At 44.7% G+C, this 16,162-nt stretch overlaps 1 protein-coding gene across 1 annotated transcript in view; it reads left to right on the plus strand.

Annotated features, from left to right (window-relative positions):
- The window catches only part of DOCK5 (dedicator of cytokinesis 5), a 231,023-nt gene that overhangs the window by 192,452 nt on the left and 22,409 nt on the right, over positions 1 to 16,162 (plus strand). The window contains exons 38-44 of the mRNA NM_024940.8: positions 165 to 284; positions 3,165 to 3,254; positions 5,534 to 5,638; positions 11,951 to 12,092; positions 13,066 to 13,147; positions 14,756 to 14,840; positions 15,656 to 15,742. Of these exons, the coding sequence (NP_079216.4) occupies positions 165 to 284; positions 3,165 to 3,254; positions 5,534 to 5,638; positions 11,951 to 12,092; positions 13,066 to 13,147; positions 14,756 to 14,840; positions 15,656 to 15,742 (711 nt within the window). The remainder of the gene's footprint in view (positions 1 to 164; positions 285 to 3,164; positions 3,255 to 5,533; positions 5,639 to 11,950; positions 12,093 to 13,065; positions 13,148 to 14,755; positions 14,841 to 15,655; positions 15,743 to 16,162) is intronic.

A 16,162-nucleotide genomic window follows, 5' to 3' on the forward strand; every position in this document is an offset into this window, starting at 1 on the left:
GTTTTGGAGCTGGCATGTGTATATGTGTGTATATGTAACTTTTGTGTTTAATACATAATCTAAAATACAAAATCAATGAGTCAAATATATATACAATATTTTCTTGATGTTGGGGGGCTGAATATTTGTTGTATTAACCGTGTGTCGCTTTTCTTCCTTTTCAGTGGTCTGACAAGCCCTGTGTGCCTCATTTGCTTCAGAAGGACAGTTACTATGTTTATACCCAGCAAGAGCTTAAAGAGAAGCTGTATCAAGAAATCATATCATATTTCGACAAAGGCAAAGTGAGTATTGGATTGTTTTTGTACTAGGGGAAAGAGGAAAATGACCGCAGTATCGCAATACAATTCTGATGCTCACCACTTGGAGTTAGCACTGACTACCCAGGTTCAGGGCACTGTCTCCAACGAGACTGCCCCCGCTTCAGATGCCATCTTCAAATTTGGGGGTCCCCAGTCCATTCACAGTTCTGGGCAACTGGGTATACATCTGGGGGGCTTCCACTGCCCCCTCAGGTTTAATAGTCTGCTAGAACAACCAATAGTACACAGTGAAGTGCTATATTTAACCATTCCAGTTTCATCAGGAAGAATGTAAACTGGGGCCAGCCACATGAAGGGACCCATAGGGAACAGTCTGGGAGAATCTCAAGCGTGGGGCTTCTGTGTCTTCCCCCTGTGAACTCGGGGCACCTTCCCAGCAAATCAGTGTGTTCCTCAATCAGGAAGCTCACCCAAGCCATGGGTGTACAGAGTTTTTATTGGGGTTTCTTTTTTTTTTTTTTGGTAAATATGGGGTCTCACCAGTTGCCCAGGCTGGTCTAGAACCTAGAACTCCTGGGCTCCAGTGATCCTCCTGTATTGGCCTCCCAAAGTGCCAAGACTACAGGCATGAGCCACTGTGGGGTTTCATTATACAGGCAGGATTGAATGAATCGTTAACTACACAATGAACTTGATCTTTAGCCTTCCTTTTGTCCCTGAAGATTGGGCTGATATCGCATGGCTCACAGCCCTAACCTTCTAGTCACATGATTAGTATTTCTGGCATGGCAGCCCCCATCCTGAGACTAGGAGACCACCATGAGTCACCTCATTAGCATAGATTTGGGTATGATCCTGGGGTGGGGGCACCAGGAATAACAAAGACACTCTTATTATTTGAGAAATTCTAAGAAAATTCACCGGAACTCAGGACCAAGACCAGATACATGATTTAATATACAACAATAACTCACAGCTACTGTTTATTCTTCCCTTGTGTATTCTTGAATTCTGAGATTTCAGAGGGGGACAGATTTTGCAAACAATGATTTTAAAAGATTTAATTTTGAAGTGTTTCCCAATGGCTTGTGGGCTCTGCACACATTTCCTCAGAAGCCAGAAACAATGGAACATAGCACCTTGTGAACAGGAATGAAGCAGGAGGTGACCCGATGCTGCAAGTTGAATAGTATCCGTCTAAGAGACAGCTCATGAAATACCAAAGGGGTTAGAAGGCTCAATCTGGGCTGCTAGCCTCAGACACTGAGGACGTGCTTTAGCCTGTAACTTACATGGTTATACATGCTCGGAGGCATTTCCTAAAACTCATCCACTAAGTAGGGAAATCAGTGCCCTGCATTGAAATACAGTTTGCCAAATTCCACACTATCGGGGAAACCCACCCCCAATATTTCAACATAGGTTCTTTCTATTTTCCATAAGTGTTGGCCGGCTGATAAATAAAGAGAAAGAGTACAAAGAGAGGAATTTTACAGCTGGGCTGCCGGGGGCGACATCACATATCGGTAGGACCGTGATGCCCACCTGAGCTGCAAAACCAGCAACTTTTTGTTAAGGATTTCAAAAGGGGAGGGGGTGTACCAACAGGGAGCAGGTCACATACTTCAAGGGGCAAAAAGCAGAGCAAAGATCACATGCTTCTGAGGAAACAGGACAAAGGGCAAAAGGCAGAAACTCCTGAAGAGGGTCTATGTTCAGCGGTGCACGTATAGTCTTGATAAACATCTTAACAGAAAACAAGGTTTGAGAGCAGAGAAGCGGTCTGACCAAAAATTTACCAGAGTGGAATTTCCCAACCCTAGTAAACCTGAGGGTACTGCAGGAGACTGTTTATTCTTCCTTATCTCAACTGCATAGGACAGACATTCCCAGAGTGGCCATTTATAGACCTCCCCCCAAGGAATGCATTCCTTTCCCAGGGTCTTAATATTAATATTCCTTGCTAGGAAAAGAATTTAGTGATATCTCTCCTACTTGTACGTCCATTTATAGGCTCTCTGCAAGAAGAAAAATGTGGCTGTTTTTGCCCGACCCCGCAGGCAGTCAGACCTTATGGTTGTCTTCCCTTGTTCCCAAAAAATCGCTGTTATTCTGTTCTTTTTCAAGGTGCACTGATTTCATATTGTTCAAACGCACATGTTTTACAATCAATTTGTACAGTTAACACAATTATCATAGTGGTCCTGAGGTGACGTACATCCTCAGCTTACAAAGATAACAGGATTAAGAGATTAAAGTAAGACAGGCGTAAGAAATTATAAAAGTATTATTTGGGAACTGATAAATGTCCATGAAATCTTCACAATTTATGTTCCTCTGCCGCAGCTCCAGCCGGTCCCTCCATTCGGGGTCCCTGACTTCCTGCAACACCACACAACAGTACTGTTAGCCTTTTTCCATCTCCACAAACAACATCACTACACCTACACACACACACACACACACACACCCATACACACACCTGTACACACACATTTCAGAACCAAAGTCCCACAGAAACTTCCCTTCCCCCTCCAACCAGACTTGCATGCTTTCCGAACCTGGGCTGGCAGAGCTTCCTCTCTACTTTGAAGTGCTGTAGGTGCTTGACCTGTTAAACACAGTATTGCTTTTTTGGGCGACACATGGTACTTATTCTTAATGTCCGTGCAAACAGAACTACAGAAGACGCCCCTGGCAAAGCTGCCAATATACACTGTCTTTATGATGTCAGGAAATGAAGGTTTCACTGATCTAAGGGATAAAGCGAGTGAGGAATATCTACCGAAACTCAATCCCCCAGACCACTTGCTCATTCCCAGTGACTCGCCAGTGGCTTTTGCCACTGAATCAATGACTGCCTTGTTCTCCACTTTTAACCTTACTTTCCTTTTTCTGAAGATGTGGGAGAAGGCCATCAAGCTGAGCAAAGAGTTGGCTGAGACTTACGAAAGCAAAGTATTTGACTACGAGGGCCTTGGCAACCTCCTGGTGAGTCTGGGTCAAAATATGTTAGGCCTCTGACAGGGTTGCTAAAATTAGCACTCATGAAAATGTTTCCGTAAGTTGAAAGTCAGGATGAATGGTGTTTTTTTACAATGGAAAAGTCAACTTTGCTTGAAATGAGAATGAAAAAAGATGTAGTCCAAAGGCTCTGATCAATATTTCTGCCAAATATCCTTCAGAGAAGGTTCAGGACATCTCTGGAAGTGGAGTGGGGTTGTCTCGACAGTGTGGTGGAATATTGAGTTTCAGATAGTAGTGACTCGCTTTCCACATCCCTCAGGATCTCTGTCTGCAGCTCTCTCATTCTTCCTGAAGCCATTTTTCTTTCTGTGGGCCCTCCATATTCCCAGCCATCAGTAAAGCAAAACAAAAATGAGTGCCCAGTGTTAGGCAGCCACCATTCTGAAAGCTCAGTGGAGGCAGCCACCATTCCGAATGCCCAGTGGAGGCAGCCACCATTCCGAATGCCCAGTGGAGGCAGCACCATTCCGAATGCCCAGTGGAGGCAGCACCATTCCAAATGCCCAGTGGAGGAGGCAGCCATTCTGAATGCCCAGTGGAAGGCAGCCACCATTCTAAATGCCCCAGCGGTAGGCAGACACCATTCTGAATGCCCAGTGGAAGGCAGCCACCATTCCAAATGCCCAGTGGTAGACAGCCACTCTTCTGAATGCCCAATAGAAGGCAGCCACCATTCTGAATGCCTGATGGTAGGCAGCCACCATTCTGAATGCCCAGTGGTAGGCAACCATAATATTAAATTTAATAATTTCTAGTAGAGGAGTTAGAAAAGATCAGGTCACCCATAGTCATGAAATAATCATTTATTTGAGGAGCTGGGTGTCAAGATCACTTTGTAAAAAGTTTACCAGTGTGCTATTACCAGCCCCTGGCTTCACATGCAAAAAACTGACTTATTAATTTCATCAACTGGGCTGGGCACGGTGGCTCATACCTGTAATCTCAGAACTTTGGGAGGCCAAGGCAGATGGATCACTTGAGCCTAGGACTTCCAGACGAGTCTGAGCAACATAGTAAGACACCATCTCTACAAAAAATATAAAAAATTAGCTGGGTGTGGTGGCACCTTCCTCTAGTCCCAGCTACTTTTGGGAGGCTGAAGTGGGAGGATCACCTGAGCCTGGGAGGTCAAGGCTGCAGTGAACTGTAATCATGCTACTGCACTCCAGCCTGGGCAACAGAATGAGACCCTGTCTCAAAAAAAAAAAAAAATTTCATCAACTGAACTGAGCTGAAATATTAGTAATGTAACATGTTACATACCGGTCTAAGAAAATAGTATTTTGACGAGACCATCACCTAGATAGAAGAGTAATGGCATGCTAACCATTGTAGGGGAGGGGGCTCAGGTCATTGCTCAAAGCTGTCCACGTCTGGCTGGCTATTTTGCTTTCTTTAAGGCTGACCTTGTGAGCCAAAGCTGGAAAGCCCCTCATCTTGTGAAGAATTAAAGATAAAGATGGTAGCAGATACTGAAAAACCGAACATCACCACCACCTTCTGGGCACTTATAATTTACCAGACACTTTCATCCAGACCACCTGCATGAACTACACAGTCCTTCTTTTTAAAAATGTTCTTTATTTTATTATTATTTTTTCAAAACAGGGTCTCACTCTGTCACCCAGGCTGGAGTGCAGTGGTGCAGTCATAGCCCACTGCAACCTTGAACTCCTGGGCTCAAGACATCTTCCTGCCTCAGCTGCTGGCTAATTTTTTAATTTTTTGTAGAGATGGAGTCTCACTATGTTGCCCAGGCTGGTCTCAAACTCCTAGCCTCAAGCAATCCTCCCACCTCTGCCTCCCAATGTGCAAGGATTATAGGCGTGAGCCACTGCGCCTGGCCTTGGAAGGTTCTTTATCTTCTCCCATGGGTGTCTGGTTAAGTGCAGCCGCCTTCTGTGAATCTCAGAATGCACTTTTTAACCTTTTGTAGTCCCTGAGCCCACTTTGAGAAACTGCTGAAAGTTGTGCACTGCCCCGTTACGCAGAAGAATTCCAACGTGCACACACTTCAGCATACACCCTCAGGGAGTCACAGCCTTCCAACGTCCATTCATGGAGCCCAGGTCCAAAACCTGTGATCCGAGAATAGGATAACCCTTTTCTGCCCATAGGGTGTTTTCCAAAGACCTTTCATTGCTCTGGGTTACGTGGGAAACAACAAAACAAAGTCTGACTTTTTTTTTCCCCCAACTGTGTACTTATAACCTCCCCTTGGAATGTCTTGTTTTGTTTTCCAGAAAAAAAGGGCCTCATTTTATGAGAACATCATTAAGGCAATGAGGCCTCAGCCTGAATACTTTGCTGTTGGATACTATGGACAGGGCTTTCCTTCTTTCCTACGGGTAAGAAACCTGATGGTGGTCTCCCAGGCCATTAGGAGGAGGGAAGAGACTCATTTCTTTTCCAGATGGGCAACAGGGTGTTAGCAGCTGCCGACCCGTGTTCTCGCTGTGGGAGGTAGGGGAGGGAAACCACTTCCTGAGCAGCCGGCCTCTTCACCCCACACCCCCGGACACCCGTGGTGTTCTGCAGGTCTTTTGTGAAATGACTTTTCCCAGGTGCAGTGAAAAAGGGAAAAACAGAACCATCCCCCGCACTGGTCAGCTGCTACGGGTCACGCCAGGGAAAAGTGTGGACTGATGTATTTCGTTGTTTACCATGTTTCTAGCCAGAGCTAATTTGAAAATAGGTATCCCAAGAACCAGACTGCAGGAGTATCCCAAAATAAAACATTTTATTATAATAATAATGACAAGGATGGTATTTTTCTTCCATCTCAAAATTGTGTATAATGCGATATTCAATTTATAGTTTAATAAATAAAAATTCTTATCTCTTACGAAAAGTTTCTTTTAGAGCTGAGCTTTGCTTAAACATTTATTATCCATCTGCTTTCTCCTAATTTGAAAACAAGCGATAAAGCAAGCAATTTACATTCCTAACAGTGCCTAATGAGACAGTTTATTCATTCAGTCAGTAAATATTTATTGAACATCTACTGTGTGCCAGGCATAGGGAAGGCATTAGAAAGATCTTGCTGATTACAGTCAAACATAGTCCCTACTCTCATGGATTTTACAACCTAAACTCATGAGGGGAGATTTTAATCACACATGAATGTAAAATTTAATCTGCATGTCGGACGCAGTGGCTCATGCCTGTAATCCCAGCGCTTTGGGAGGCTGAGGCAGGCAGATCACTTGACGTCAGGGGTTCGAGACCAGTGTGGCCAACATGCTGAAACGCTGTCCCTACTAAAAGTACAAAAATTAGCTGGGCGTGGTGGTGCATGCCTGTAATCTCAGCTACTCAGGAGGCTGAGGCAGGGGAATTGCTTGAACCCAGGAGGTGGAGGTTGCATTGAGCCGAGATCACACCACTGCACTCCATCCTAGGTGACAGAGCGAGACTCCATCTCAAAAATAAATAAATAAATAAACTATAACCAAGAAAGATACCCTGTGCTATAAGAATCTGTAACCAGGAAGTATTTACCCAAGTGAAATAGAAACTTACCCTTTTACAAAAAATGTACAGGAATATTTATAGCAGCTTTAATCATAGTCACCAAAGACAGGATCCAATCCACGTGTCCCTGAACTGGTGATGGGATAAACAAACTTCAGTGTATCCACACAACAGAATACTGCAGCAGCCAAAGGCAGTCAGCTCCTGATACACACAACTGCGGGCATGATTCCCACCCACATGCAGCTTGCTAGGTAAAAGAAGTTACACTTAAAAGGCTGCGTACTCTGTGGTTTTATTTATACGAAATTCTTGCCTAGGCAACGCTTCCTATCAGGACAGAAAGTAGATCAGTGGTTGCTGGCCAGGGGGAGGTTGGCTGCAGAAGGGCCTGGGGAAATTTTTGGTGGCAGTGAAACTGTTCTGTATCTTGATTGTGGTCCTGGTTATGTTTGTCAAAACTCACAGAATTTTACACTAAAAGGGGTCCATTTTACTGTATGTAGATTATGTCTTAATATTATTATTTTATTTATTTATTTATTTATTTATTTATTTATTTTTTTTTTTTTTGAGACAGTGTCTCGCTCTGTCACCCAGGATGAAGTGCAGTGGTGGAATCTCGGCTCACTGCAACCTCCGTCTTCTGGGTTGAAGCGATTCTCGTGCCTCAGCCTCCCAAGTAGCAGGGATTACAGGTGTGCACGACCAGGCCCAGCTAATTTTTTGTATTTTAGTAGAGATGGGGTTTCACCATGTTGGCCAGGCTGATCTCGAACTCCTGACCTCAGTTGATCCCCCTGCCTCAGCCTCCCAAAGTTTTGGAATTATAGGCATGAGCCACCGTGCCCAGCCTATGTCTTAATAAAAAAAAGAATCAGGGCCTGGCACAGTGGCTCACACCTGTAATCCCAGCTACTTGGGAAGCTGAGGTAGGAGAATCACTTGAGCTCGGGAGGCAGAAATTGCAATGAGCCGAGATGGTGCCACTGCACTCCAGCCTGGGCGACAGAGCCAGACTCCATCTCAAAATAAAATAAAAAAAATCAGGAAAGACTTTCCAGGGATCCTCTGTTTCAGCTGCAACCTGAAAGGTAAGCTGGGAGTGGAGCAGGTAAAGGGGGTAGGAATAAGCATTGCAGGCAGAGGAAGCATCAGGCAAGAGCAGGGCAGTGCCTTGAAAGGAAGGGCCAGTGCAGCAGGCACAGAGAGAGCTGGGGTGCCAGCGGGGAGGCGGGGAGCCCTGGAAGAGCCTGCAGGGCCTTGGGGTTTCCTGGGGTGTTCTGTCTACATCCTGAGAGCAGTGGGAGCTGCTGCAGACTTTTCGTGTTGGAAAGGTCATCTGGCTTTTGTCTCCATGGTCATCCATGGAGAATGGATGGGAGGTGCTGCAGGTAAACCACTAAGAGACCATTGCAGATGTTCAGAAAAGAGATGACAGGCTAGACTCGGGACGTGGGGGTGGTGGCTTTACAGAGAAGCGGAAATACTAGAGGGGTGGAGATGAGGTCACAGCCATCTGATGATTGATGGGCTGTGTGGGTGAGGAAGTGAGAGTTGTCAAGAATGATTTCTGGGCTTCTGGCCTGCATCATTGGAGGGGGTAGTTGAACCATTTACTGGGACAGGAGGACCGGAAAAGGCCAGAGTCACAGAGGAGAGAATGAATTTATTCCTTGAGTAAATATTTATTAAACTCCTACCATATACTTGGCTCTAATATAGGCATGGGAGCAGAGTCAAAACGAACCAAAATCTTGAAATTATCTAGCTTATGTTCCAGCTTGGAGAGATCAAAAAATGAGATAAATCAATAAACTATTTAGTATGAGAGATGGCCTAGAACACTGCCTCCTACAGTGTAGCTACTCAGTAAGTATCATGGAGAAAAGGACTTAGGGAAGGGGACTAGAGAGGCAGGTGTTGGGGATGGAGTTACAATTTTAAATACAGTAAACAAGAAAGACTTCAGAAAGAAAATGGCATTTTTGCAAAAACCAGAAAAAAAGTTAAAGAATAAGCTATGCAGCTATCAAGAGGTTGAGCAAAGGTCCCAGACCTTGAGAATAGCAGGTCCAAAAGCTATGAGGCTGGAGTAGTTGTGTACAAGAGGGTGTATAGGAGAATGGGGCAGGTGGCTGTTGGTACCAGATAGCAGAGGGCCTCCCAGGGCTTTCTAAAGTGTTTGCAAAGTTTGGTTTTGCACGTACTCAAGGGGAGGTACATTTGGAACATCCAAAAGGCACAAGTCAACCATTAGCTGTATAGATCTGGAACTCAAGTGAAGTTACAGACAGGAGAGAAAAGTTGGTGAGTTACTTGTATGGAGTTAAAATAACCGTGGTTGGGGATGAGGTGGACCAGGCAGAGGAAAGAATAAAGAGTGGAAGGTCTGAGGCCAAGCATGGTGACTCATGCCTGTAATCCCAGCACTGGTAGGCCAAGGCAGGAGTCTTGCTTGAGCCCAGGAGTTTGAGACCAGCAGTTTGAGGCCAGCCTGGGCATCATAGCATGACCCCGTCTCTATAAAAAAATTTTTTAAAAATTAGCCAGGCATGGTAGCATGTGCTATGGTCCTAGCTACTCAGTAGGCTGAGGCAGGAGGATTGCTTGAGTATTGGAATTAGAAGTGACAGTGAGCTGTGATCAAGCCACTGCACTCCAGCCTGGATGACAGAGTGAGACCCTGTCTCAAAAAATAAAATAAAAAATAGAAAGAGTGTAGGGTCTAAATGCATCAGGGTCTAGTGTTAGCTCAGCTTCAATCCAGGTCAACATAAAAGAACAACCCCTGCCATAGCCGTTACATATGCCTGCATGTCCCATGAAATCAGAAATGTGACCACAGAGACAGCAGTGATTCTGTGAAATCAAGAACACCAGACTTTCAAGTCGAAAGCATTCTCGTCTAAATCACCTGCTGAGCGAGTGTGCAATTTTGGTGAAATCACGTAATCACTGAGTCTTGGTTTTCTGATCCGTAATTTAGAAAAATAATGCCTACATCGCAGGAAAGTTTTGAGAATTAAGTTAATAGCATATAGGAGTGCTTTATAAACTGTAAAGTAGTTTAGAGATGTTAACATACCTCAAAGGCATACTGTAGAATATAAAATCCTCAGGAGTGATATAACCTCACTGCCACTCTCTTCTATGGGATATTTCCCTGAATTCAGAATATTTAAAATTACATCATCCTCTCCTTCCAACCCAATGAGATCTCATTATCTCTTTTGTTTCTGTCAGGGGTACCACTGTTCTTCCTACTCCAAGACCAGTGACTTTTTTTTTTTTTTTTAAGAGGTCTCGCTCTGTCATCCAGGCTGAAATGCAGTGGTGTAATCACAGCTCCCTGCAGCCTTGACCTCCCAGGCTCAGGCAATCCTGCCTCAGCCTCCTGAGGAGGTGGGATTACAGGTGTGCACCATCACGCCCAGTTAATGTTTTTATTTTTTCTTAGATATGGGGTCTCACTATCTTGCCCAGGCTCAAGACCAGTGATCTTTGAATCAGCGTCGACTCCCCTGTCTGCCCTGCCCTTCTCCCGACACCAAAGAAGCAAACACTGAATGCTGTTACTTCTGTCTCTCCTTCTGTTACTTTTCCTTCTTCTGCTCAGTCCAGCCTGTGAGCTTTCAGTTGGGCATAGATGCCACTGTTGGCTTACATTGTCTACACTTCTTCTTTCATCATGCATCTCCTGCCTTCCAGAACCTCCAGTGAACATTCCAAGTCTTTGAAACCTCTGCCTGCCATGCGAGACCATTCATTTTCTGGCTCATTCTTCCAGTCCAAGCTCATTTCTTCTCCCAGAATTCTGTGCTTTCCGCCCCTGGGCCTGACTCTTTCCACATACCCACCTGGTCCTTCGCACCCCTTCTCTTTACGCTTCCTTATCCCATTCATCTGTCTATGCCCATCTAAGGCCCATGTCTTGCTTGAAGCCTTCTCTTTCCAGTCGAGCTAATTCTTCCTGACCTGCTTCTGTGATTCCTTTTACAGTTATCGTCTGCATCATACAACTAGCGTTGTATTACACTCTGATCCTTTACCCACCATTGTTTCATCTGAATGATGGAATTTCAACAGGCTTGAGTCCCATAGACTTTTCCTAACTTGGAAAAGTTTTATCATATATTCCAAAAGATCCAGTAGTTTTTACTCCCTTCATTCAGTGTTTGCCTGGAAAGTGTAATTGCCCTCACGGTACTTACACTATCATGTTTACTAATATATTTACTTGCTTGTTTTTTATTCTCTCCTCTAGAAGGTAAGTTCTGTGAGAGCAAGATCACCATTGTATTCCTGTTGTCCAGCTGATCTTCTCTTTGTGCAATACATATTTTTATATGAATGGACAAGTGATTTTGAAAGACATTTTACAAGACAACCTGGGCCCAAGTGTTGCTTAAAAAGGAATCATGTGTGGGCTACCAATGGAAACTGCTCATTTCAAACATGGCTATGTTTGCACTTGCCCAGGCAACCACACCTGTGAGACAAATTACTCCCATGCCTGGGGCCTAGGAAATCTCTTTGGGGAAAAAAAAATGATTAAAGAGATTATATTTACAGTCTAGAGTGGAGAAAATAGTATTTAATGCAGTAATTTTCTATTAGACTTTCAGGATTGGCTGGGGACTGTGGTACATTGCTTCTGTTCTCTGTCACTCTGTTTCTGTGCCAGAAGACACATTGCTTCTCCTCATTCTCTTATGCAGTGCTGTTTAAGTGGTGGTCCACAAATTGTTGCTGGATGGTGATGAGATCGATTAGGAGTTTATACCTCAATGTAAATTAATGCACTTCCTTCCTTCCTTAAGAATGTCTTGCCATGAAAATATCAGCATGCCTGTGGATGTCATTGATTTAAATGAGGGCACAAGTTCCGTATTTCCTTGCAGATGGGTCCAGACTGTTTGCAGACTGGCCATGGTCCTTGGGCCACACTGGAAGAAGAACTGGGCTAAGTATTTTTTATGCCTGTGATTTAACTTCTCCAATAAACCGCAGCTCTTGTAGGATATGATGGTCGCTGTCAGGCAAGGACTAGATTTTCAGTGAGAACTTGATGGTGGGGATTGAACGTTGGCTGGGGAGTGCAGTGGCTACCTCAGTACCCGGAACTCCAGTTGCCTCTCCACTCTTCCTATGTAATGACTTCCCTTTCTGTGTCTCACCTGCAGAATAAAATCTTCATCTATCGGGGAAAGGAGTATGAGAGGCGAGAGGACTTCAGCCTGAGGTTGTTAACCCAGTTCCCCAATGCGGAGAAGATGACCAGTACCACGCCTCCTGGGGAAGACATCAAGTCGTCCCCCAAGCAGTGTATCCTTTCCGGGGGGAGTATGGCCCCGAGGCTCTTATGGCTGTGCACAGCCCCAGCTAAGCCAGAGAACATAGGAGCTACAGTCCCTTCTCTGCAGACACACCATCTTCTCAAGCATTCTGACACAGGTTCCCATTCCATGTAAAATCTTTGGGACCCTAATAGCATTAGCTGGTGGTGATGACATAACAAAAGAGGAGAGATAATAGACAAATGATGGATATGAAATATACTTCGTAGCCAGATGGGGAGCTTAAGTGGAATATATACTTTCTATTGTGAATTCTGGATTCTGTTGTAGACTTTGAGACAGTATCTCTGTCCTGGTGGGTTGGGGAGCTAAGACTTTCTAAGACTTGATCATTAAATCAGAGCAGGAGCGCTTACACTTGAGCTGCTTTTGAAGCCTAACTTTACCATTTACCAGTTGTGTGATGTTGGATTTTAACCTCTCTTATCCTCAGATTCTCCATCTGTGAAAAGAGAATAAGAATATCCCTCATGTAGAGTTGTTGTGTATAGTAGAGATAACACATTCAAAATACCTAGCACAGTGCCCAACTATGGCACTGGATAAACAGACGGGATCCAAAGATAAAAGTAATTCTTGTTGCCTGGGCTCTGATTCTGGTGATTTCAGAGGGATGCTTGTCCCAAGAAATTGTTTAAATCCATTTCTAAGTACCTATTTCCTGATATTGCATTGATGTCTATTTCCCTATGGCAAGGATTGTTTGCCAGATGTCTGACCGAAAAAAAAAAAAGGGCCCTAGGATTAATTATAATCACTGAATAAGGCATTCCAGTGATACACAAAGGAACTCCCATTTTCAGTGTGGTCCTGGCATTGGGGTCAAAGGGAGTGATTGGTGCTGGTGGCATTTCCGGCTGTGAAGCAGGAGGAACAGGGGTGTTTGGTGTCTGACACCTTCACGACCCCAGCCCCTCTCCTTTCCTTAACGAGCTCTTCAGACATGCAGTGCTTCACTGTAAAGCCAGTGATGAGCTTGCCGCCCAGCTACAAGGATAAACCTGTTCCAGAGCAGATCTTAAAGTAAGTGGTTTTTCATTTAAAAAAAAAAAAAATCTGTGTCTAGGCACAGTGGCTCACATCTATAATCTCAACATTTTCCGAAGCTGAGGGAGGAGTATTGCTCGAAGCCAGGAATTTGAGACCAGCCTGGGCAACAAAGTGGGATGCTGTCTCTACAAAAAAGAGAAAAGTTTGTCTCTCCCTCACACCTGTTTGGAGTACATCAAAACCAAAGCCTTACATTTATTACAGTTTGCAAGACCTACTGTCTGTTCTACTTTGAGTGTAAGATAAAAGCTTGGTAATACAAAGGGATGTGGGGGTTTTGGTTTTTTTAGGCAGAGGAAAATCAGAAATTTCACACCTAGCTTACAGATCCCTGAGCTTTTATTTTCACCCAAAAGCATCGCAGAGGAGTGGCTGGTCCCCAGTGATGGAGGGGCTCATTCCTTGTCTTGAAAAGCTGAATGCTAACAGTATTGAAAGAACTGTTATAAAACTAGACTAATGAGATCACAAATGTATGTGTAAGTGCATACACCTTTTTTTTTGTTTTTTTTTGAGACGGAATCTTGCTCCGTCACCCAGGCTGGAGTACAGTGCGTGATCTTGGCTCACTGCAACTTCTGCCTCCCAAGTTCAAGCAATTCTCCTGCCTCAGCCTCCCAAGTAGCTGGGATTACAGGTACACGCCGCCACACCTGGCTAATTTTTTGTATTTTAATAGAGACGGGGTTTCACCGTGTTGCCCAGGCTGGTCTCAAACTCCTGAGCTCAGGCAATCCGCCCACTAAGAGACAGGGTCTCTCTGTCAACTAGGCTGGCATGCAGTGGCACGATCATAGCCCACTGCAACTTCAAACTCCTGGGCTCAAGAGACCCTCCCTCCCACCTCAGCCTCCTAAGTAGCTGGGACATACACCACCACACCTGTGTGTGTGTGTGTGTGTGTGTGTGTGTGTGTGTGTGTGTGTGTGTGTGTGTAAATGGGATCTTGCTGTGCTGCCCAGGTTGGCTGGTCTTGAGTTCAAGCGATCCTCCCACCTCTGCCTCCCGAAGTGGTAGGATTACAGGTGTGAGCCACCACACCTGGCCACATATACCTTTTAAAATTGTGTGCTGTGACTTTGAGGCTGAGGCGGGTGGATCACTTGAGGTCAGGAGTTCAAGACCAGCCTGGCCAACATGGTGAAACCCCATCTGTACTAAAAATACAAAAAAATTAGCCAGTCGTGATGGTGCGTGCTTGTAATCTCGGCTACTCAGGTGGCTGAGGTAGGAGAATCACTTGAACTCAGAAAGTGCAGCCTGCAGTGAGCCAAGATCGTGTCACTGCACTCCAGCCTGGGTGACAGAGTTAGACTCTGACTCAAAGTAGATAAATAAATAAAAATAAATAAATAAAATTGTGTGCTGTGAAATAAATTCCTAAATAATATAAAAGTAAGGTGTGAAATAAAATCAAATTGTACACTTTCTCAGGCCTTCATGTGGAGGCACTATTGATTATGAGATAGCTTAGTGGGTAAAACTCAGACCAGGCAGATGTGTTATAGGTTTTGTTGAAGTCAAGTCAAGCAGTGGTTGTTCTAAGAGAGAAAAATACAGCATTGCTTTGTCCTTCTCCAGCTACTACAGAGCCAATGAAGTGCAGCAGTTCAGATACTCCCGGCCGTTCCGGAAAGGAGAAAAGGATCCAGACAATGAATTTGCTGTGAGTTCACCCCTTTTGTCCTTTAAGAGGTAAAATTAACGGGCTGAGCACGGTGGCTCACGCCTGTAATCCCAGCATTCTGGGAGGCCGATGCGGGCGGATCACGAAGTCAAGAGATCGAGACCATCCTGGCTAATACGGTGAAACCCCATCGGTACTAAAAATACAAAAAAATTAGCCGGGCGTGGTGGCACGCACCTGTAGTCCCAGCTACTCGGGAGGCTGAGGCACGAGAATTGCTTAAACCCAGGAGGCGGAGGTTGCAGTGAGCTGAGGTCGCACCACTGCACTCCAGCATGGGCGACAGAGCGAGACTTCGTCTCAAAAAAAAAAAAAAAAAAGGTAAAATTGACATCCCAAGTGGAGATCTTCCACCTACCTAACCAGCTTCCACAGGAGAAACGATGGCACCCCTGGGAACAGAGACTTCACCTGCTAATTACCTAGACAGCAAGTACTAATTACCTAGACAGCCAGCTGTCATCTCCATGGAAAATGCTAGACTAGGAGTCCAGAATCTGGTCTCTTCCTGGGCCTGCTGCTTGTAATGACCTTGGGCTAGTCATACCTCTCTAGACCTCACATTTCCCTCTGTAGGGTGAGAAGTCCCAAGTAGACGATCCCTTTCAGCTTTAAACATCCAGAATCCTTGAATTTTATGAGAAAATTTGGCTCAGTCTCTACGAGGCATTTGAGAATAGAATCTCACTTAAGTGAACCAGGGAGTCTTGCTGTTTTCCCTGGGAATTGACCAACATTTCATGTTTTCCTCCTGGGAATTGACCAACATTTCATGTTTTCCTTCTTGCCACCAGACGATGTGGATTGAACGGACCACGTATACGACTGCATATACCTTTCCTGGGATTCTCAAGTGGTTTGAAGTCAAACAGATTTCAACAGTGAGTCATTTGAAATTGGCATTTAGAAAAAAACTTTCTGTTTCCAAATATAATAACAGCCTTTGTTGAATTCCCTCTGCAGTTCACACCAGCTTGGCCAGCCTCCTCTGGCCAACTTTGTTTTTCAAAAGAGAAATAAAAGGCATGCTTATATAATAGAGCTCCTTTGTAAAACTGATGTGACAACACCAGCCCTAAAGGTCAATCACAGTGAATGACTCTTTTATGTCCAGAGGAGTGGTGTCTGCTCAGCGATCCTGCCAGCACCCAGAAACATTTTTGGAATGCTGCTTTGGAGTTTCTTGTCAATTACATCTTCCCTCCCAAAGCCTGTTCTCTTCTTTTATTCTCTGCTAATCATATCCACAGTTACCCTAGACTCCTCCCTCTTCATCTCGCCCAAAAGCTGCTTATTTTACC

The sequence above is a fragment of the Homo sapiens genome, chromosome 8 (genome assembly GCF_000001405.40).
Source record: "Homo sapiens chromosome 8, GRCh38.p14 Primary Assembly".
In the NCBI taxonomy this organism is placed as follows: Eukaryota; Metazoa; Chordata; class Mammalia; order Primates; family Hominidae; genus Homo; species Homo sapiens.